This window comes from Homo sapiens, chromosome 4 (genome assembly GCF_000001405.40).
Source record: "Homo sapiens chromosome 4, GRCh38.p14 Primary Assembly".
NCBI classification, from domain to species: domain Eukaryota; kingdom Metazoa; phylum Chordata; class Mammalia; order Primates; family Hominidae; genus Homo; species Homo sapiens.
The window spans coordinates 31,638,031-31,660,941 of record NC_000004.12 but is presented as its reverse complement, the minus strand read 5'-3'; positions in this window follow the sequence as shown (position 1 = coordinate 31,660,941).

The window sequence follows — 22,911 nt, the reverse complement described above, 5'->3', positions numbered from 1 at the left end:
CTCAGAAATACCATGTCTCTTGAATTCAGAAGGCATGTAGATTTACAATTTCATTTATTTCCATACTTGACTGTTAATGCAAAATATAAATAATTCTTTAGATTATTTAAAGTCTTTAAAACACATCTTCAGTGTTTCAATAGCATCTTTAAAATTTCTGCAGACCAATAGAAAAAATAAAGTAGAATTATTTCCTTCTATTTTTAGGTAATTTTTTTTCATCTTACAAGATAAATATAAAGGATCAAAGGAAAAAGGAGATGTGGTTAGAATCTATTTCTGAATCTCTACATGTGTTTCTTCCATATGACTATCTCATGCTCAACTATGCAATGACATTGTCAGCAGTTATCTTTCTGCTCCCTTACCAGCTTGTAAAATTCAGAATCGTGAATTTGTCTTTGACTATATGCATAGCATCATGTCAAAATTAACCTAATGCAGATAAAATCCCAAGTATATGAGGGCTCCAGTGATGTTCCTCAAGGTTTAATGCAGTACACGCGGCGGCATGAAATGGGAGAGGGGCTCTGGAAATTCAAATAGGAACTACAAATTTGACTTGCTTGCTTATAGCAAACTAAGGAGTGGTCTTCCCGCTAACAATATCTTTTGTAATAAGCCTTAGATTTGAGAGAAAAGCAGGGCTAGTGATAAGGTTGACAATAACAACAGCAATAGCCACAAAGCATGATTAATAAGGAATGATCAATTTACAGTGTTACATCTCCTTGGTGCGATTAAAGTGCATGTTGTGAATTTATATTAAAGGCACTGTTGGGAATATTTCCGTCAGAATGCTTTAACCTTGGGATCAGGTTTGAAGAAGTATCAGGTATAAGGTGACATAAGCAACAAAAACTAACTCCACATAGGCCCAGTAGGAAAGCTCTATAGAGCCATAAAGAAAAGCACAGCTGGCGTGGTAGTATTGTAAAATCACAAAGAAAAGTATCCATCTTCCTGACTCCTTGCCCCAGTCACTCTCCAGCTTTTCTCATCTCCCGTTGTAAAGATTAAGCACATATCTCCCACCTCCCTATTCCTCCCTTCATGTTGTGTTCTGACCATTCAAAGAACCCTGTCATCAATCTGAAATACCTGGCTTCCAAATTCAATCCATTCCATTTCTATTCCTTCATTAATTCCTATTTTCCAGCACAGGCAAATCTCATGCAGTCCTCTGGAAAAAGAAATATGAACCGATGAACTGAACTTAAAGTTGTTACACAGAAAAACCAGCTTGAATAATTCCATTTATCACAAAATACATTTGTTAGTTCTCTATGTCCCAAGCTGTGTAGAACAAGGTCCCGGCCTTTGAGAGATTAGTATCTTAATTTTACATATAATGTTTGTTTGAATTTTATAAAAGGACAAATGCATCTATAAGTAGAGGGATTGCTCAGAATATCAGCAGACTGAAGAAGCTGACTGAGTTTTGGAGAAGGATACCTTTCAAACAACAGTAAAACCACATCTCGGAACAAGAAATGGTTGCCTTGGGAAGGGTGGGGTGGGGCACACGTCATCTTCTTCTGGGGGAGAGAAAAAATTACTTCCCCTTATTTATTCATATCCCAAAATATGGTTTCCTTGTAAGGAATCTCAAGCCTCATTACATATTTTTATTTTGACGTATTTATAGAATACTTTGTGTTGAAACTCTGAATGCCAGTCACTAACAGGCAAACACAGGTAATTATGACTTAAATACAGAGGCAAAAAACTCAGAGGAAAAGAGTAGAAAGTTCTAGAAACTTCCTCTTCTGGCCTCCCAACACCACCTCATGGGGGCATCTGAGAGCCAGAGGCAATGAATTGAAAAGACCCAACCCTTCTGTCCTCCTGGCTAACAAAACAGGTTGACTAAGACAAACCTTGCTCTCCAGGTCAATTTTGTGTCTTGTGGCCTGGAGATTCCTGGAGTGCCCTCAGATACAGGGCTGCATTCTCCACTCCTGCCCATAACCAGTGCTCTCCCTATCCCAGGGGCTCTCTGATTCACTGACATATTATCGCTCTAAATTTTTCTACACTTTTTTCCTGTGGTTTGGAGAGGATGAACCAGGAATTAAGTATTAAGTATTGGCCTCTGGGTCCTAAAGTGTGAACTAAATTGAATTCTGCTCCTCAACAAAATATGCTCAGGCTCTCTAGTTTGTAGTTTATCATTTCACAGAACAATGCCAACTGCTCAAAACTTGACAGAAGAGAGGAAATGAGAGAGAGAGAAAGAGAGAGAGAAAATATTAATGACAGTCCTAAAAACAGTTTTGGTTCACAAGTTTAATAATACCCAAGAGTTTAGACTTTTTCCAAAGGAAATTTAATTTCTTGGTTAATGAAAAGACCTATTTTAGGAAACTTACCTGATATCCTCTTAGGTCTCCATGATTGTGTTTGCTTTGCGGGTAACTATAATACTTGCAGGAAGTTGCCTGCATTCTCTCAGGCTAGTTATACATGAAGGAAGGGAGGAGATGGCAAATTAAGGGATGCTACTGCATAGGAAATGTTGGTACAAGCTCATACAAACTGTTTTGGGAGATAATTTGCAAGACTCAAATTGCAAAGGCTCAAATATACATGGTCAGAATTATGTAAAAGCCATCTGTTCTTTCGTTATACTATCTAATTATATTTTGTTAGACTTACTATTGACCTAAATGCTGCTATACTGTCATGTGTAACTTACTATTTTTATAAATATATTCTTGCATCCAAAGTAATTACTATCTTTACCAAAACTTATGAGGGAGATACAAGGACAGAGAGGAAAAACTGTCTTCCCTACCCTTTAGTTTTATAGATGCAGAAATAGTAGATATCGTCTTATGTGAATCATCATGATTTCAAGAAGTTGCTTGCAGTCTCCTGACATTTCCTCTGACTAATTTTAATACATTGCTCACCTATTTCAAAATGGAGCAATGAGTAAGAATGCTAATCCTGAACGCTCTCTTTTTTCAGTAATAGAGTAACCATTTTTGAGAAAATAATATCTTGATTTCAGTGAGCGGATGGGCCTCACAGACATTTCATTAAAGCACACAACCTGTGACTAAAATACAAGATACTGTTATTACTTTAAATTTCCAGGTGGAAAAGTGAGAGATAGAGTTTAGTTACTTCTGTAGGGGTACCCAGCAGATGACTGTTAATCTGACCTGATAGACTCCATTCTTTACCATTCCCCCAGAATCCAGATCTTTTTGAGTTTGCCTTCCTGATACACTATACACCATCACGTTGAAAGCCTACAGTTTATGTACTGCCAGACAAGTATTTACTTCTCAAATGTTTTGTGCATTACAGTTTAAGATGACTGTTTGGCTCACAATATTTCCTCCAGTGACTGTTTCCTGTCAAGTCCTCAAAGATGGATAACAATAAAAAAAACACTCCTGGATTAAATATTAAAATAAGCCTATCAGGTCGGGTGTGGTGGCTCACGCCTGTAATCCCAGCACTTTGGGAGGCCGAGGTGGGTGGATCACGAGGTCAAGAAATCGAGACCATCCTGGCTAACACGGTGAAACCTTGTCTCTACCAAAAATATAAAAAAAAAAAAAAAAAAAAAAATTAGCCAGGCATGATGTCAGGCGCCTGTAGTCCCAGCTACTCAGGAGGCTGAGGCAGGAGAATGGTGCAAACCCGGGAGGCGGAGCTTGCAGAGAGCCGAGATCATGCCACTGCACTCCAGCCTGGGCGACAGAGAGAGACTTCGTCTCAAGGAAAAAAAGAAAAAAGAAAAAAAAAAAAAAGCCTATCAGATTCTATATCTCCTGGTAATTTGAAATGTGAACAAAAATACATATGCTTTAAAATTATGCTGAAATGACTCATAAATGATAGCACTCTAGACAGAAAGAAGGTAGACATGCTTGTAGAGCCAAGAACCTGGGGACTCCCTGGGTTGTAGTCTTACGCTTTGTTGTTCATCTCTTAACTTGATTCTACGATCTAACATAATGCCCACGCACCAAAGAGACATATAACCAAAAGAAAACTATAACTCAAATAGTTTGTGTCTCTCTTTTTATAAAAACTATTCTATTTATTCACACCCTACGTAAATTTTTTTAAATCCCCTGACCAAAATAGTCATATTACTAAATGATAGCTCTGCTATCATCAGAAAACCTTCTCAGCTGTGTGCTTCTTCGTGTTCTCACAGTTTTATCTTCTTCCATTAAATCTAAATATGTTGCCTTTCATCTATTTCATCATCTATGCAACTATATACTGAAAAGTCCCTGTTTTAAAATCCCGTATTGGTTTGAACACATCCACCTATTTATTGATTTGTCAGCAATAGTAAATAAATGAAAAACTAGATAAATATCTTATAAATACAAAATTTAAGTACCACCCAATTTCCATGAATAACTTTTAACATTAAAAATGTATAACTGTTAATAATTTACAAATTTGTTTTATAAAAATAAATAAATAATTTGGGTAAAATAAATATATTTTTCTCAAAATGCCTTTAAAAAGCATAGAGTAATACACGAAGAATAAAATAATGATGTAAGTGGTCTTGATTAAATATGCGAGTGTGTCATTAAATATTGCCATTATTCTTGCTTCTGTAGAACACACACGGATTACTGTGTGAAAAAGAACAATGAGAGGTTATAGAAGAAGAGGTGAAAAGAGACCTCTAGATGAACTCTAAGTCCTTAAGTTCATAGCATTTTTATGAATGTTTTGAAAGACTACAAGGACATCTATGAATCTAACCTTTGTATTTAACATAGCGACAGATAATAATGTTGATAAATATTTTTAACATGTAGATATTATAATTATTATGTATTATCGTTACTATTTTCAAGTGCAGTTATAAAAAAATTTTTTAAAAATCACAAAGTATAAAATCACTAACTGCTAAAATGATTAATTGGAAAAGATACAACTGATATTACATATGTAAAAAAGAAACTACAAGTAAAAAATTACATTACATGCACATACTAACATACATGCACATAAATATATAAATAACAGATAGATGAATACACATGAGGTTATGACCATGAATGTTTTGAAAATCCTTCTGTGATGTCATTATTTTTCCAATCTATTGTATTTTGATGGGAGTCAGCAAAATTAGTGGATATGCTAAAATTAATTGTGTTACAATGCATAGATATAGAGAGTTTTGACCCAGGCTTTGAAACCTTTTTGATTGAGCTCAAATCCAGGCTCTGCTGCTTACTAGTGTCTTCAAATTTAATTTTTTTTAGTAAAAGGGAAAATAATATTCAATGTCACAGTGTTGATGCAAAAATGAAGTAAGATAAGTGCATACTGGGCATTGCACAATTTCAATCTTATGTATCATCACTGATCATGTGGAAAATTCTCCCACCACAACATCCAATTTAGGGGGAAGGGAGTGACAGCATTAGCATACCAGAGGAAAGACAAGTATTCAGGGTATGCCAACTGTATATAATATCCAATATGTCCTTAGGCTTAATGTATTGTTGTAAAGGGACTAACTCAAAATCATGCATAGTGTGTTGGTTGGAGTCAGTAAGAAGAATCTGCCTAGAAACTTTGACTGAAATATATATAATGAGACTGAATATATTTAAAAATCTACTACATTGAAGTATGAACGGTCACAAATGACTTAAGTTGCTTAACATTATCTATGATTATTCCATTTATTAAGAAGTAACATTATTACTTTTCACAATAAAATATTTATATGACAAAAAATTCATTGCAGTAATTAGTGGAAAAAATATAAAATATTCATTTTGTTTTCATTGTCCTTTTGAAAGGAAAAAGAAATCTTGTTAAAGAAGAATACATGATTAATATTTAAATGATAAAATATATTATTATTATTTTAGCTTTATTCATCTGTATATTTTTTTAATTTCAAATTTATTTTAGATACAGGTGGTACACTTGCAGATTTGTTACATGGGGATGTTGTGTGATGTTGAGGTCTGGAAGGAGTATGGATCCTGTCTCCCCGGTAGTCAGCATCAGGGTAGTTTTTTAACCCACCTTCTCTCCTTTGACACTCTAGTAATTCAGTGTCTATTGTTCCTGTATTTATGTCCATCTGTGCTCAATGCTTAGCTCCAGCTTATAAGTGAGACCGTGTGGCATTTGGTTTTCTGTTCCTGCATTGATTTGCTTAGGATTATAGCCTGTAGCTCCATTCATGTTGGTGCAAAGGATATTATTTGATACTTTTGATAAAATATATTACTTTTATTGAAATCAATTTGTATTAAACAGCTATGTTAAATGTCATTTTTAGCTTTGGTAATTTTTAAAGTATTTTGATAAAATATTATAGCTGCTTTTTGATTTTTTTGTCTTTCTGTATCTCCTATTTTAGTCCACATCTTTGATGCAGAGTATTACTGAATACTGGTATCAAACCAAGAGAAAGAGAAAATGACTACATCTCAATGCTTGTGAACATATAGTGACCCTATATAACTTCTAGTTTCCAATATACAGTTGCATGGGTCAGGCTGTGCACTGACATGTGAACTAACCATTTCCATAAGATATATAAAAACAGAAGACGTATCGATTTATTCAAACATATATTGGCCAATATTTCTCTTAAATACTGTTGCCAGTACACCATTCCAGTTACAGTAGAAAAGAAGCACGTTTTATTTTTAATTTTTAAACAGTAAACTACATCTCAAACCTTTCCTTCTAATAGAAAAATACAGAAAGAGTACACAACTACTATCACACTGGCTGACATAGATTTAAAAATTTTATAAGATTATGAATTTCTAACAATTAATTAACAGGCTATTGTTGAATGCATATTGTATATATATGCAATATAAAGTATTAAGAGGGGGGAAAATAAAATAGACAATTGCTCCACAGTTTCAAGGGTTTGCATTTTAAGTCCAAACTTTAAAGATTAATATTGCTAAAGATATTGGACTTGAGAACATGTACCTATAAGTTTGCCTAACATGTTTGACAAATTTGTTATATGACCTTAAATGAATTGTTAATTTTTTTAATGTCAGATTCTTCATCTGTAAAATGGTGATGATGACAGTGATGACTATAGAGATGTATATTTCACGGTTTTATCAAGAGGGGTTAGTAACATTGCATACGTGGTTTAGCATATGGCTCAGTGCATACCAAGTGTTCAATAAAAAGTGAGGTATTTTTATTATAAAATCTTAGGAGTTGCTCTGTGGTATATACTTTAATAAATAGACACTATGTAAGTGGCTATTTCTCTTGATATGCTGAACTTGAAATACCCACAATGAAATATGTGGAAAATCAAAGGTCATGACCATATATTTAATCACATAATATTCTTTAGTTGCAGAGAAACTTTTTTCTTTCATTTTATAGAAACTTTAATTAATATTCTATAATGACATATTCCCTTCAAAACATCCTTTTTTCTGCCTTGCTATCAATGAACTTCTTACATGGGCTTAACTTATAGAAACTTAAATATTACACTTATAGGAAATATTTGCATGAAAAAACAAACTATTGATTCAAGTGAATGGCACATAGTTTTGTTTTATAGACTGAGCAATAGCGGTCCCAACATACAACATAGAAAGCTGCCTACTCTCGTTCTTTTTAAGACTTGCTTGGATTGGTACAGAAACATGTAATTTATTTTCCACTGTGCCTTACAGAAGCCTGACAGAAATAAGGCTATAATATTCATTTATGTCAGTGGCCACAGAAGTGAGCACATGTAATTCTGTCTTCCTCAGTAAAGTCCACAATTTTTGTTTCCTCTTGCCTTCAAATTCTTGGAATAAAAGGTGCCAAAATTATGGCCCAACAGGAATTTACTTACAGCTTTTAGAAGAAAGATAGGGCCTTTGTTCTTTCTTTGGAAGAATTCTGTAACTGCCCAACAGGTTCTTCTTGCTCATTGCACAGATAGAGACAATTTACTGAGACAGAATTATTGCAATAGAGAAAGATTTTAACAAATGCAGAGCTGGCTAAATGGAAGAATGGAATTTTATTAGTCAAATCAGTCTCCCGAAAAGTTTGGATACTAGGGTTTTTTAAGGATAATAGAACAGATAGAGGACCCGTGATTGGGGAATGCTGATTCGTTGGGTCAGCAATAAAATCAGGGGGTTGAAGCAGGTTATTCTTTTTGTCTTCATTCCCGGATTGGATCACAGAACTAGTTGAGCCAGCTTACCAGTCTGGGTGGCACCAGCTAGTTCATCAGAACACAGACTCCGAAAAATATCTTGAACACCAGTCTTTGGTTTTACAATAGTGATGTTATCCATAGGAGCAATTGGGAAGGCAGGCTAGGAATCTTGTGGGCTCTGGCTGCATGACTCCTGAGCCATAGTTTGTAATCTTGTGGTTAATTTGTTAGTTTTAGAAAAGCAGTCTGGTCCCCAGGCAAGGTGGCAGTTTTGGGGGGAAGAGCTGTTACCATCCTTGCTTCAAAATTAAACTATACACTAAATTCCTCCTATAGCTAGTTCGGCCTACACCCAGGCATGAACAAGAGCAACTTGGAAGTTAAAAGCAAGATGGAGTCAATTAAGTCAGATTTTTTTCACTGTCGTAATTTTTCACATAGAAAAATTTGACATACAAATTTTTCTCATTGTCATAATTTTTGCAAAGGCAGTTTCAACTCTGCTATGGCTTGGATGTGTTCCCTCCAAAATTCATGTTGGAACTTAATCCTCAGTGTGGTGGTGGTAAGAGTTGAGGCCTTTCAGAAAGTGATTAAAGAGTACTGGATTGTGTGTCATTAAAGGGCTGCAGAGAATTAGTTTAAACCTATTTTTTCCCTTCCTTCTGCCTTCTGCCTTCTGCCATGAGAGGAGGGCCTCACAGCAAGAGGGCCCCTATCAGACACTAAACCTGCTGGCACCTTGGTCTTGGATATCCCAGCTTACAGAACTGTGAGAAATAAATTTCCCTTATTTATAAGTTACCCAGTCTCAGGAACTTCGTTATAGCAATACAAATGGATTAAGACAAACTCCAAGGGTAAAGGGAAAATAAAATGGCTTGGATTTACTTTATAATATGAAGACTATAAATTCAATCATGAATCACTTATATAGGCACTTTCTCTCCCTTTCTCTCTCTCACTGTGTCATAAACACACAAAATCACACACACACACACACACACACACACAAACACACTATATTTATCATAGTAGTTAGAACTTAGGTATCTTTGTTCCTGTGTAGTGCAACAAGAATTCCTTTGTTTCCTTACTTGTCTACTGTGTTAACTTGTGATTAATGCTTTCCAAAGCATGACAACTAAAAAAGATTAGCTTGGGGTTTGAGATTATTTTAATCTAATTCCTCATTTAGTGATTTCTATTAAAAATCGAATTGACACACAGTTCAAAAGTACCATAATCATCATATTTAAATGCCTTTATGATGAACTATGAACGTTCACCAATTAATCTCCTCAATGTTTCCAATCAATTAATTTTCCAATGCTTGAAAAGAAGGGAACGACACAGAGAGCTCATTTCCCAGTTGATGGGCATGTGTTTTAACTATGAACAGTACTATGAGAATAAATTATTTGGTATTGAAATATTTATCCCTGTTGTTCATAAGGTTTTAATTGTAATCCTATCCTTTTGATTAGAGATTAGAAGGTTAAAACTTGACATATTGTAATGTGAGAGAGGCTTGGTGATTCATGTTTTTCAATTTCAAGTAATGCATAGACATGACTCGTTTGAAATTTTGAAAAGACACAACGTGAAAGAAAAAACCCTGTAATCAGTCAACTTCAGTACATACCCTTTTTTATTTTGCTTCTGTATGTTTGTTTTTTTTTTTGTTTGTTTTGAAAGCTTTATCAAAACATTCACTCTTTGGTGAAAAGGGTAGATATGCTATTCCTGTTATATATAGTCATTAAAAAATAATATGTATTGAATTTCTTTGTGAAAAAAATTGATCTCATTTTAAGTTAAAATGGGTAGATTTTTGCTATCTTTTGTCTATAAAGATTTAACAGGCTTCCTTAGAAACAATATGATGTTTATTTTTAAGTTTTTTAAAGTTTAATTCATAGATAAAAGTAGTAATACAACTAGTGACAACAAGTAAAAGCATGCAGTAGTAAATTGTAAGGGTGGATAAGCAAAAAAGCAAACATGAACTCAAAGAAAATTACCTATAAGGGTTTTCTCTCACTATTAATAGATTCATGATTATGATGTGTGGGGCCATTTTGTTATTTTGTTTTTTTATCTTTAACTAACCACTTCATTTTTTTTTCAGTAATAATGCTTCCAGTTAAGATAATCTGGTACATAGAGACCATAAAAATATAAATGATAATAACAGAAATGATAAAATATTTATTTAGTGCCTGCTCTTTTTCAAGTATTATCTTAATGAAGTCAGATTATAAGATAGGTCTATTTATGAAATTCATTTTATAAATTAAGAAACCGAGGCAGAAGATTCCTAAGTAGATCAAGGCCACAGAACTAAAAAAAGAAGGAACCAGGATTTTAGACCAGGGTTCCCTGATTCTACACCTCATGAACTTACATATTGGTTATATTATTTTTGTTACTGTCTAAAAGGTCGGTTTTTTTGAGTGATAATTATATTATCTGTGATTAGAAATCAGCATATTATTCACAACATTTTTCTTTTGGAACTAATACCAAATTTCTTGATTTAACTTATAAGTTTGAAGAAAATTTCCATAACGTTTTGTTATAATAAGTGCATTTATTATAATTAATGCATTATGATATACATTAAATTTGGAGCAAAATTTAGAGAAATACAAATACTTAGTTGCAGCCTGTGCAAGCATGAATACAAATTAATTCATAATTATTAATAATCAATAATTCATAACAATTAATTAATAATTAATATTAAGATACAATTATGAATCAATAATTCATAATAATCAATAGGTTACAAAATGGAAATATCTGCCACAAATAACTTTTAGTTGTAAGAATAAAAATGTATGTGAAATAATTATTAAAATATTTATCACATTTGTAAATGCATTATATAGAGAATGGTGAGCTCTACCTGTAATGGGCCAGTTAGTAAATATTTGGGGCTTTGCAGGCCAGACCGACTCTGTCACAACAATTCAACTCTGCCGTTGTATTATGAAAGCAGCAATAGAAAATACATGAACAAATGAGTATGGCTGTATTCCAACACAAACCTTTAAAAAGTGAGCAGAGAGCCCCAAATTATATTATCATTTTATACAATAATTTTACATTATGTTAATATAATTAATAGTCAACACTGTTATGTGGAACATGAATAAGTAAATTCAGCTACAGAGAATTCCAGCCATCAGAAGGGCAAAAATTAAGTACTTATATACTCAGGTGAAAATCAACACTGCCCTTAATTGTGATCTAAGTGATGTGATGTAGATACTTTTGTATTCAAGAAGAGAGAGTGATCAATGAAGATTTGAGTAGTAGAGGTAATTAGCCAGGATATAAAATTTATTCAGATGTTGAGTAAAGAGAAGGACAGGACTGGCTTCTGCACAATTTTATTTCTTCTTTGATCTCAGTGCTTTCTTATATTTGCTACTCTCTATAGTTCAACTAATTGAATTACTATTCTCCCAACTTCTGGAATGTTTCTTTGTCCCCTTGCCTTTGATTCTATTCCTCATAATTGGGTCCATCTCTATGTAATGACATAGTTTCGATTTCTCAATTCCAGTATCAACATATTGTTGTATATATTGTATATGTAGAAAGCATTTTCTGATTCCTTCAACATATTCCTCCTTGCTCAATAACCTGGCTATTTTGCAGCACTCACATTCTAGATATTAATATCTCTTTGTCTATGTTTCTCCCCACTCCCACAGTAGTTGTTTAATTACTTGAGAGTCTTATTTATTTGAGTAGTTTAATAGTGGCTCGCCATTAGAATGAAAATGTAGAGACATGGAGTAATATCTATTGAACTGAATTAAATGCCTCTGGATTAAACTAAAACAAATAAGTAAGCTCCTATGCTATGGAAACCAACAAGTGTTTTAAACATAGTGCTAACAACAACTGAATAATCTATGGCTTAGAGCTGTATCCAATCTTTTTAAGTTAACTGCGTTGCCATCAGCCTAAAATAACATCATGTTTATAGTATCTGTCTTGACCAAAACTCTTACGCATTCTTGCCTACTGAGTAGAGATGGCAAAGTGTTAATTTTGTGGAAAATATTGCTATTCAGTTGATAGAAGGGTTTTCTAAGTTACCTAATGTGTAACTACTTCAATCTACTGAAGCATGGACTTCTATCTCCACAGGAATCTTTTAACTTGTCATCTGACTGCAAATATTTTACAAATTTGGAAACATATTCTCTGTTTTCCTAGCTTATGCTTTCTGGATTGGAGAACTTTCAGCGTCAAACAAATGTTTTCCATGTACTATCTATGTTGCCCATATTGCACTGATATTTTTAAAATCCTATGTGTGATATTTGCATTCATGACCATCGCAGATAGCATATATAGTAGACGTTAGTGCTGCTCATCGTTTTCAGTTCTTCTACTTTCTTGGTTCAGAATAAGGATTCATGGCCTGCCTCATTTGAAAATGGATGAGGCCTTTTGACTAGATTTAATCAAAATCTTGTGAACATGAATGAGATATATCATTCTTCTGAAAAGCATTTAATTGCCAGTGAGACCTTCCAGAGCTCTATTTTCACTCTGCTGTGGTGACTAGCAACATTCAACATGTTTGCCATCTGTCACTCTTGGTTTAAAAGTAAATAGAGTTGCTGACCTATGATGAACATACAGAATGAGCAAAATATAAACATTTATTGTTTGAACCTCCAAGATTTAGGATTGACTGTTATCATAGCATCACCTGATCTATCCTGAATGATGCAGAAATCAGAATCAGAAGAGGAATGCTCCTGTAACAAAACAAACAAACCTAAACATGTGGCAGCATCTTATGGATGAATCATTTCAGGGTGAGGAAACTGAACAATAAAGATCTATGTTATTCAGTGGCAGAAACATTTGGTTAAAGAATCACCCGAGATACTTTGGAACTCAGAATATAAAGCTGAGACTGTTGCAATGCTCAGATAATAGGTTGGACATTAGAATTATAGTAGCCAATGTTGGATTCTATTAGCTGCATTTGACAAGCTATTACAATTAAGAAATAGCCTCAGTAAATAATTAGGCCTCGTAAAAGCAGAGATAAAAGGATAGACAATCCACAAATAGAGAAGTTTTTAAGTTGGAAAAGGCTGCTTCTTCTTCACCCTAAAGAGATTAAGATAAAAATGAGAAATGTTATAAGCAAAAATACCAATTGAAATTTATTTTGCAGGAGGATTAAATCAAATAGAGGACCATTATAGACTGATCGTTAAAACGTCTGAAAGAATTATTGTGGTTCCCAAAAAATCTCTTTTGTTGACAGAATTGTTCAGGAAAGGCCTCATGGTGTAACATGCCCATTAAAATCTGATAAGCTCAAGTTATCTGTGATTAAGAAAGAAGAATGTATTATATCAAACAGAACTGTGGTTACTATTATTGTTGCATAAAACTAACTGCATGCAAATTGTTAAGAAGCTGAAAAAGTTATTGAGAGACTTCTATGGCCAAAAAAACCTGCAACCTTGACTAAAAGATAAAGTGACAGCCAAGGTTTGTAATGAATTTATCTGGAAAGCAATCAGGCTGAGCATACTATTCAATGGTCAAGGGTAATATATTCTTCCAATTTGAACTTAAGGCATGGACAATAAGGAAAACAAAGAGGGTAAATTCTCTCAGAGAGGTGCAAAGAACCACAAAAAATGTTAGACTATGGGAATTATCTTCCAGGACAGAATCAGAGAATATTCAAGGAACATTTCTTACCACCAGAATAGGAGTACATCAAAAAGATTTCCCAGAATTGCTGCAAATTGCTATGTATGTGTCTTGTATCTTCTGCTTTTTAAATGTGAGTACTGATTGCAGTTTTAAGGCATCTATTGTACCATTATATGTCAGGTTGTGGGGACACATAACAACTAGATCAGTGATCCCCAACCTTTTTGGCACCAGAGGCAGGTTTCGTGAAAGACACATTTTGTACGAACAAGCGTGAGGATGGATGGTGTCAGGATGAAACTTTTTCACCTCAGATCATCATCTGGCATTAGATTCTCATAAGGAGCACACAACCTAGATCATTCGCAGGCGCAGTTGACAGTACGGTTCGCACTCCTCTGAGATCAAATGCCTTGGCTGATGCGACAGGAAGCAGAGCTCAGGCGGTAAAGCTCCCTTGCCCACTGATAGTTCCTGCTGTGCGTCCTGTTAGGAACAGGCCACAGACTGGTATGGGTCCAACATCCCCGTGTTGGGGACCCCTGATGCAGATCAAGAAAAGCCATTTCTGGTCCTGGTGTGGGGAATTTAATGTATCACCTTCTTATACAAAGACTACCATTCATCATCCAAGTAATCTCAATCTTTAGATTAATATTGTGAATAGTGAAGGATTAATGTGTTGTTTACTTTGAGGTCCAAGTAAGTATATATTATACAAAGAAAAGACAGAGAATCAGATAGTCCTGGTCCATTTGGGCTGCTATAACAAAATACCATAATCTACTGTGTGGCTTAGAAACAACAGAAATTTGGCCAGGTGCGGTGGCTCACATCTATAACCCCAGCACTTTGGGAGGCCGAGGCAGGCGGATCACTTGAGGTCAGGAGTTTGAGACCATCCTGGCCAACATGTTGAAACTCTGTCTCTACTAAAAATACAAAAATTAGCTGGGTGTGGTGGCGGGCCTGTAATCCCAGCTACTCAGTAGACTGAGGCAGGAGCATTACTTGAACCTGTGAGGCGGAGGTTTCAGTGGGTCGAGATCGCACCACTGCACTTGAGCCTGGGCCACAGAGCAAGACTCCATCTCAAAAAAAAAAAACAAAAACAAAAACAAAAAACTCACAGTTCTGGAGGCTGAGAAATCCAAGATCAAGACACTGGCAGACTCTGTGCCTGGTGAGGGCCTGCTCTCTCGTAGATTGTGCCTTCTGCTGCCGCTTCACTTGATGGAAATGGCAAAGCAGTTCTCTGGAACCTGTTTCATAAGGGCACTAATTCTATTCATGAAGTCTCTGCCTTCTGGAAGGCCTTTCAAAAAGCCCCTCTTCTAATACCTTCACCCTGGTTGTTAGGATTTTAACATATGGATTTGGGAGGAACGTAAACGTTCAGACCACAACACACATATTTGATGATTAGAATAGTGAAATGTGCTAATCCTCAGTGCATTCAGCAAATGTTTCTGGTTCTTCCCCTCTTAGGTATTTGGTAGGATGTATTTTTTGGCCCCCTTCTAAGTGGATGTAGACAAATGACTAGATATGGCCTTTGAGTTATGAGCATAAGTGCTGATGCATAACCTCCTTTGTCTTTAGAGTCGTAGACAGCAAAATTTGAGCTAATGGCTCTAAGTCATAGATGACTAGGAAAAGCAAGGTGGCTTGCCAAACATCAATGGACATGAAGGACAGCAAGAAATGAAACTCTGTGGTTTTCAAGGCCTTGAGGTTTTTTAGCCGGGGAGGGGTGTTTGTAATTTGGCGTATGCTGACGGATTCAGCATGCTTTCTAAAAATCAGCAGGATGAGCTGTTTCTTTAATAAATAAGCATACTTTTTCTAGAAAGAACTAAAAATATATTCTATGCATAACAACAAAATATTTTAAAGACCTGACATTAGGAAAAGAAAAGCATGTTTTTACCAAGCCAATACAAAATTGTTACATAAAATGACAATACTACATTTCAATCCAATTTACATATGAGTGTATCTATTATTAATACCGCATATTCCAGAACACTTGAGTATAGACCACAAATAATGATATTCACAAAATAAGTTGTCACATTTAACTTAGAAAGGAAGTCAGTGTACTGTAAGAAGGAGACTTAGGATGACTTCCACTGTGCTTAAAGTTTAGGAAATAACCTGTTAGTCTGAAATTTGAAACAGTGCATTTTTTAAAATACATATCTAAAGCATGTTACTGTTTTTCCATTGCCAGGCTGACAAAGAATACTAGCTCTGAAAGACTGTTACTTAACCAATTTCTCTTCAAAAGTAAGGAAAATATTATATAAACTGCCCAAAATTTCTCCAGTGTCTCAATACAGCTAAAAGCTGTACCGTTAATAGGGCCAGTTGTCAAAAGAAAATTTTCGTATCAAGATAAATTATTTAGCACTGAATCATCCCTAGTAATAATTGAACTCACGGCCTTCAAACACAGAGGCATTTCACAATAGCAATTTTTGCTCCCAGTTGTTGATGTAGCTCTTTCCACTGTGTTCCCAAAGACAAAAAAACAAAACAAAACAAAAAAAAAACATTATGAAGGCAGGATTTTGAAAATATTTTACACCTATTCAAGTGAATGTGTGGCTTCAAAATTAATTTATAAAGTATTATAAGGAAAAGTGGTGGAAAAGAAGTACCAAGAGCTTCTGAAAAAAAAATGCAAATGTGTTATGCACAGACATGGAGCTTCAAGGAGTGAAGACAGCAGGCCATTGAGTACATTGACTAGATACATTTTGGTGTGTATACCCATACTAATAATGTAAAATCATCGTTAAATTATCCTAAATAGTTACTTTTTTTCTTTATACTTTATTCCTGTCTTTCTCCTTCAGACCTACTACGAATACAAAAATAAGGTTTTGATCATTTGGTATTTAAATAAAATAATGCATCTGTGTCAGAAATGACCCGCTTGCCTCTCCTGAGATGGACAGGGTGCCTCTAGAATTGACATAAAGTCCAAGAATGCTAAGAATTTACTCAGCCTAAATGTGAATCCTACCTATGATGGAGAAACAGAAACATTTTAGTGAGATGAGTTTATTAGCGACTCCTTTTTCTGTTGATCTGTTGCTTAAAGTGCTTCCATAACTAATGTCAGCAACACAGTAATCAACAAAAATACAAAGAAAAAGAAATGTGATGGTCTTTCTGGCCCTTGTCAATATATCCACAATTCTGTTCCACCACATGTGTCACACCCTCCTTGAGCATGCCAGGTTTTCCCACCAGGAAAATCTTTATTATTTTTTAGTAGTTTTACTTTATATTCCAAATTTAAATCTATATACCCTTCCTTCACCCTGCATCTGCACGCACACACACACACACACACACACACACTTACTTTCAAAAGCTGACCTGTTAATATGATCTTGGCTCATCATACAAAATCTGAGTTGGTCAGCTCCTTTTTTCCATTTCCATACTGAAAAATATATATATGAAACATCACATATATCAGGCTCTTAAATGGGCTCCTCAGCCTTTCCTTGCCTGCATCTCAGAAATGCACGATTCCTCTTTCCAAATATAGCAATGCGAAAACATGATTTCTGTTTTGACATACCTTTAGCCCACTTCTTTATTCCCTAAAATTACAGTCTGATTTAATTCTAACTTAGCTCAAATAACTCAATCTTCAGTATTCTATGATTGCATAATAAAATTATAGTTTATCTTCTGCATACATTATGATTATACAAGACTACACTGGAATAAATTCCCCCAGATTAGACCTCTGCCATTTATTGCTTGCTATTTCTGGAACATTTCAAAGCGTATTTTAGATGCTCACTAAATGAGTCCATCAGATCCAATCACCTTGATGTTATGTGTACTGTTCTCCTGCTCCAGATCCCAATAGTCTGCATGTACTATTTAAAAAAAAAACACATGGATAATCCTCACCAGTACTATGTTTTTGAATCAGAAATTCAATATCATGGCAAATGAAATGTCTTTAAATGATTGCCAAATTGTTGAAGGATTCTGACAGAGGTAAAAAAATATATATATAGTTCTCACCTGTTCTGTACCTACCCCATATTATATCATAGGACCAAAAGCTTCATTGCTTTTGCCCTGAATCTAAACTGTAAAGATTTATCATTCCTGGTGTAAAAGTCTTTTGAAAATTCAGTAAGAAAGGACTTTTTGTACTTCTTAGTGAACATATATTCTACTTAACATAGGAAATAAACATGATTCCAATAAGTTCACATTTTTATAATTGCCTTATAATTTTCCCTATTTTTCTACCACTCAGGTTTAGAAATTTTTTAAAAAAATCCTATTGAATCATATTAACTTATGAAAATAAAAAAATTAAAAGATGGAAATATGAAAATTTCCACAATTATAGTTGACTCAATAAATAATTGGTTAACTTTCTGATGAAATAGCTAAAAATGCTGGATTTTTATATAGTTTTAAAATCTTATTTTTTTTTATGATCAGGAAAATGAAATCTTAAGACCAAAATCTACATTTACTCACAGAGCTAAGTAAACCATAAAACCAGTTTTCAACACAAGGCTTTTTGCCCAACTATGATCTTTAGCTTCAGGTTTTACATCCTTTTGGGAGAAAGGACACAGGTGATAAAACCTAGGCTTCTAATAAGCTATAATCCCTAAGGTGCTATATTACTTGCCTTAGAGTAGAAAAGAAAAAAATCTTACCATTTACCAATTCCCTTACCCTGGGAGTAAAGGGTAAGAAGAGAAAAATTTTCCCGTCTTGGGCATTTATGTTAGTGGTAGAAAAGAATAAATAAAAAAAAAAAACCTTCACATTTGATTTCATATCCGTAAGCCACATTTGCAATAAAATTCACACTAGGGAAATTATATGGAAGAAAAATAGAAATCAAACAAAATTCTATTTGAAAGTATCCTGGGTTGTCAGTGTCCCCAATCCTGGAAATAGGAAATATACATAATCCCGAGAAGTACATAAAGCTACTTCACAACCAAATCTGAAATAATTCTCCCTGGTAAAATTCCAGTGAATATCAGCTCACAACAAACGCAAAGACTGTCAACCCAGAATTTTATAACTAGCAGAAAATAAACACACACACAAACACACAAAAGAGAAAGCAAACTTTCAAAATGGGGAAGAAATGAGGGTGAAAGTCAAGATGCTTTCAGACAGGAAAAACGCAAGAGTCACGACAAACAGGTTTTTATCAATAGGAAATTCTATGGTGTATAATTCATGCATGATTACATTAATTTTAATGAAAGGTCTAAACAGTAAGATGATGAGTAAGAATAATGGTAAGCATATGAGCATTTTAATAAACTGCATCACGTGATGATTATAAAGTTTGGAAGTTTAAAAAACATAACTAATAACAATACAATTTTATAAATTAGAGGGAGAGTTTCAATTGTTCTAACATTCCTGCAACACTAGAAGGTGGATAGAATTTTTGATAAACATTAAAGTTTGGTATTTTAAATTGGCAGATGAAAATTTCTAGAGTAACCACTAAAAGAAAAGAAGTAAAGTGTACGACTTCTCAACAAGTAGAGGGAAAAAAATAGAATGAAAGAAAAAAAAAGAAAATTTATAAAACAAAGCAAAACAACAACGACTAAGGAAGCAAGTCAAGGAAGACAAAAAGTACAGAAGAGATGAACCTCATGCTCAGTGAAGTTAAACAACAAGACAGAATGAGCACTGTTTCACAAACACTAGATCGCCAAAAATTAAAACTAAAGTACTGCAATAATAATATACTATAAAGGATATAAAGCAATAAGATCATTTAGCAATTATATACAGGAGCATCAACTAGTACAATCACTTTATGAAATAATTTGGCATTAACTGATAAAATTGAGCATGCAAATATTTTTTAAATAAGTAAATCATACCTAGGTTTGCACCGATAGTAGCTCCTCTGTGTACAGATCCAAAGACCTATAAGAACATCCAAGCTCACGGTTTAGATGGAAACAATCTTAAATAACCTTAAAGAATGAAACGGATAAATTAAGAGTAATACAGTTAATCAAAAGAACTCTGTATGTCTGAAAAACTGATTAATTAATGTTGCATTCAACCACATGGATGAACATCAGAAAATTGTTTGAAATGTTTTAAATGTTAAACTTTTTAACAATACAAACCAATAATGTAGTAAAACTCTTAAAATAGAAAGTAAAAATGATAAACCTAAAATTTAGTTAATAGTTAATCCTGAAGAGGAAAGAGATTGGGATGTGTATACAAAGTGATTTTAAGATACTATTCTCTCTTTTAAACTGGATAGCAGTACATGGATGTCCAACTTACTTTATCTTTAAAATTCACTCCTATTTTAGTAATATGGTTTCATATCTCTCTAATATTGAAGGAAAATGACAAGTAAGGTTTAATTATTTCAGATGTCATGGGAAAGTTGTTCTTACTGGCCTTACTGGTAGCATCCAGGCCCCTATTTATTCAGCCTCCCCAGAAGGTGCTGTAAGTGTTTTTATATTAATCCAGTACTCCATCCTATGGTCGTGCTAAGCTTCCTTTTATTTTCCTCTTTGTCGTTATGTCTTTTATGCATTTAACTATATATATATTTATTGATATTAATAGATATTCCAAGAATTTTAAGGCGTATCCTAAAACGCGTTTTAGTTTTTTTGAAATATTTTAACAAGAAATTGCAATTTTTCCCATAAGATGCCAAAGGGGCAGTAGCATCACAATATTTGTGTAATTCCATGTTCACATTGATTATTGATTTTACATGGATTGTTTTGTCCATAAAGTTTTGATTCAGTGCTGGTTATATAATTAAAACCCAAGCATAGTCTACTGGCTTTCAGCTTTTTGCACGACAATTTTTCTCCCCACACTATTAGTTTTGAGAGTCAGAGGATTAGGACTCCACATGCATTAAATGTGCTGTAAAGTTTAAAGGGTCGTCTGTTTTGAGACTTTTTTTTTCTAAATGTATTCTGTGGTTTTTCAAACAGTGCATGTATTTCAACTTTTGTCTTCATTAGCATTTTATACTGCATCATCTAACATTTAGCTGTTTACATTTTTTCTTATCCTTTCTGATGGGCAAAAAACTGTGTAAACATTCCACAAGAAACCTTTAGGGTTTATATTATCTCTTTTGGCAAGTAAAGTAGTTGAAAGAAAACTACAGCAAATTCAAAACGGCACCCTTAGGTCAATGTGGAGCAAGTATAAAATGATTAATATCTGAATGTAGATGTTTTTCAAGCCAGATACTCTTTTGTTTTGTTGACCTTTAGACTAAGCAAAAATAAAGCATTCAAGCAGAATGTAATCTTTACACTCTGGATGTCAATGCTTTGTTGGCAGAGTAGTTCTTCATGCCCTGGCTATTTTTGCAAAACCTCCAAGAAAGTGATATATCTTGGTTTTCTATTTTATAAAAGTCCTCTTCTCTTCATCACTTGAGATGCATAAGTAGTTTTAAAATCCATTTGGTGAAGATATTGTGGAAAGTATTAGTCTGCTACAGTCAATTAGTCTTCATCAAAAAATTAAAGGGGGTACTTCTCTTTTAAAATAAAACAGGAGTGATTGAGAACTCAGTATTAAGCTGAACTCACTCTAATTCTGGGGCACAGAGGCTCTTGGTATGACAAAAAGCCACTGAGGTCTCAAAAGTGCACGTAAGCATTAGTTTGCAGAAGAGTATAGTCCAACATGACAAACACTTCACACTTCCCCAATGAAAGAGGGAAGAAAACACATTCACCCAATAGAATAACTTAAAATGATTAAAGAACATTAATGTAATCCTCTAAAAAAGGATTTTCAAACACAGGCTTAGAAAGACAAAGGAAGAAATTACCTCTCCAAAACAATAAATGCAGAGTATGACACACAAAACATTATGACAAAAGAAAAAGAAATAATAAGGTAATCTGTAAAGAGTTTTTGAAAATTAAGTACAACCTTTGAAATAATTTTAATATCTAAGACAAATCAGCTAAATGGATACCACAAATGAGAGAATTTGTGACTAAATGATCAAGCTGAGGAACTCTCTCAGGATGCAACACAGATATATGTACAGATAAAGTCAGAGATGCCTGGTGAGGTACTGTTACAATATTCATCTAATAAGAACTTCAGAATGAAACACTAAAAATTATGTGAGGAGAAAGCAATAGTTAGAATTTTTTAGAACTGAAAGTAAGATTTCTCATATGAGAACAATCAGCAAGTGTTGAGCAGGAAATTGAGGAGAGGAAAAAAAGCAAATACATTAACACACTGTGATGATTCCGCACAACATTAAGACTAACAAAATTCTAAAAGCTTCAACGAGTGAAAGACAAAACACCAGTAATGGAACGAAAATGAGACTATTTGCATCTTGTCTCTTTCCGTACTATTCAATACAAAGAGAAATAAGAAAATGTCTTCAAAGGGCTACATATAAAAACTTTATATAAAATTCATATATAAAAAAATTATTACTCAAGCTTGAAAGTGAAATACAAACATTTGAAAATAATAAATTTAGCTTATGTATAAGCAAAATCTTCCTTTAATAAAATCTATTTGAAAAGAACTACTATGGTAAAAAGAAAGTAAAACATAAAATATAATAAAGGTGAAAATAAATAAAATACATTTTAACTCTAAATGTTAATAATAAATTATATCTAGAATTATATATGTATAAATTACCATTAATATCAACAAATATTGATAGGTAACAGTGAGATTAAAAGTTATTGAAAATCTATTGATTTTCTAGGACAAAAAAATATCAAATTTGATTAATTCTTAGTTTAAGAATAAAAGTTAAGTGTATATATTTAAATTATCAACAAACATTTGGAAGGATAGATGTGGAATCTAGAACTTTCAAGTAAAACAAAAACAATAGAGAAAAGGAAAAAAACGAAATAATTGTTTTCATGGAAAGCTGCCCAAAATAAAATTAACCAGCCATAAAGTGAGGGGAGTTGGTGTCCTCCAGTACTTCAAACAGTCCAAATCATATGCAAAAA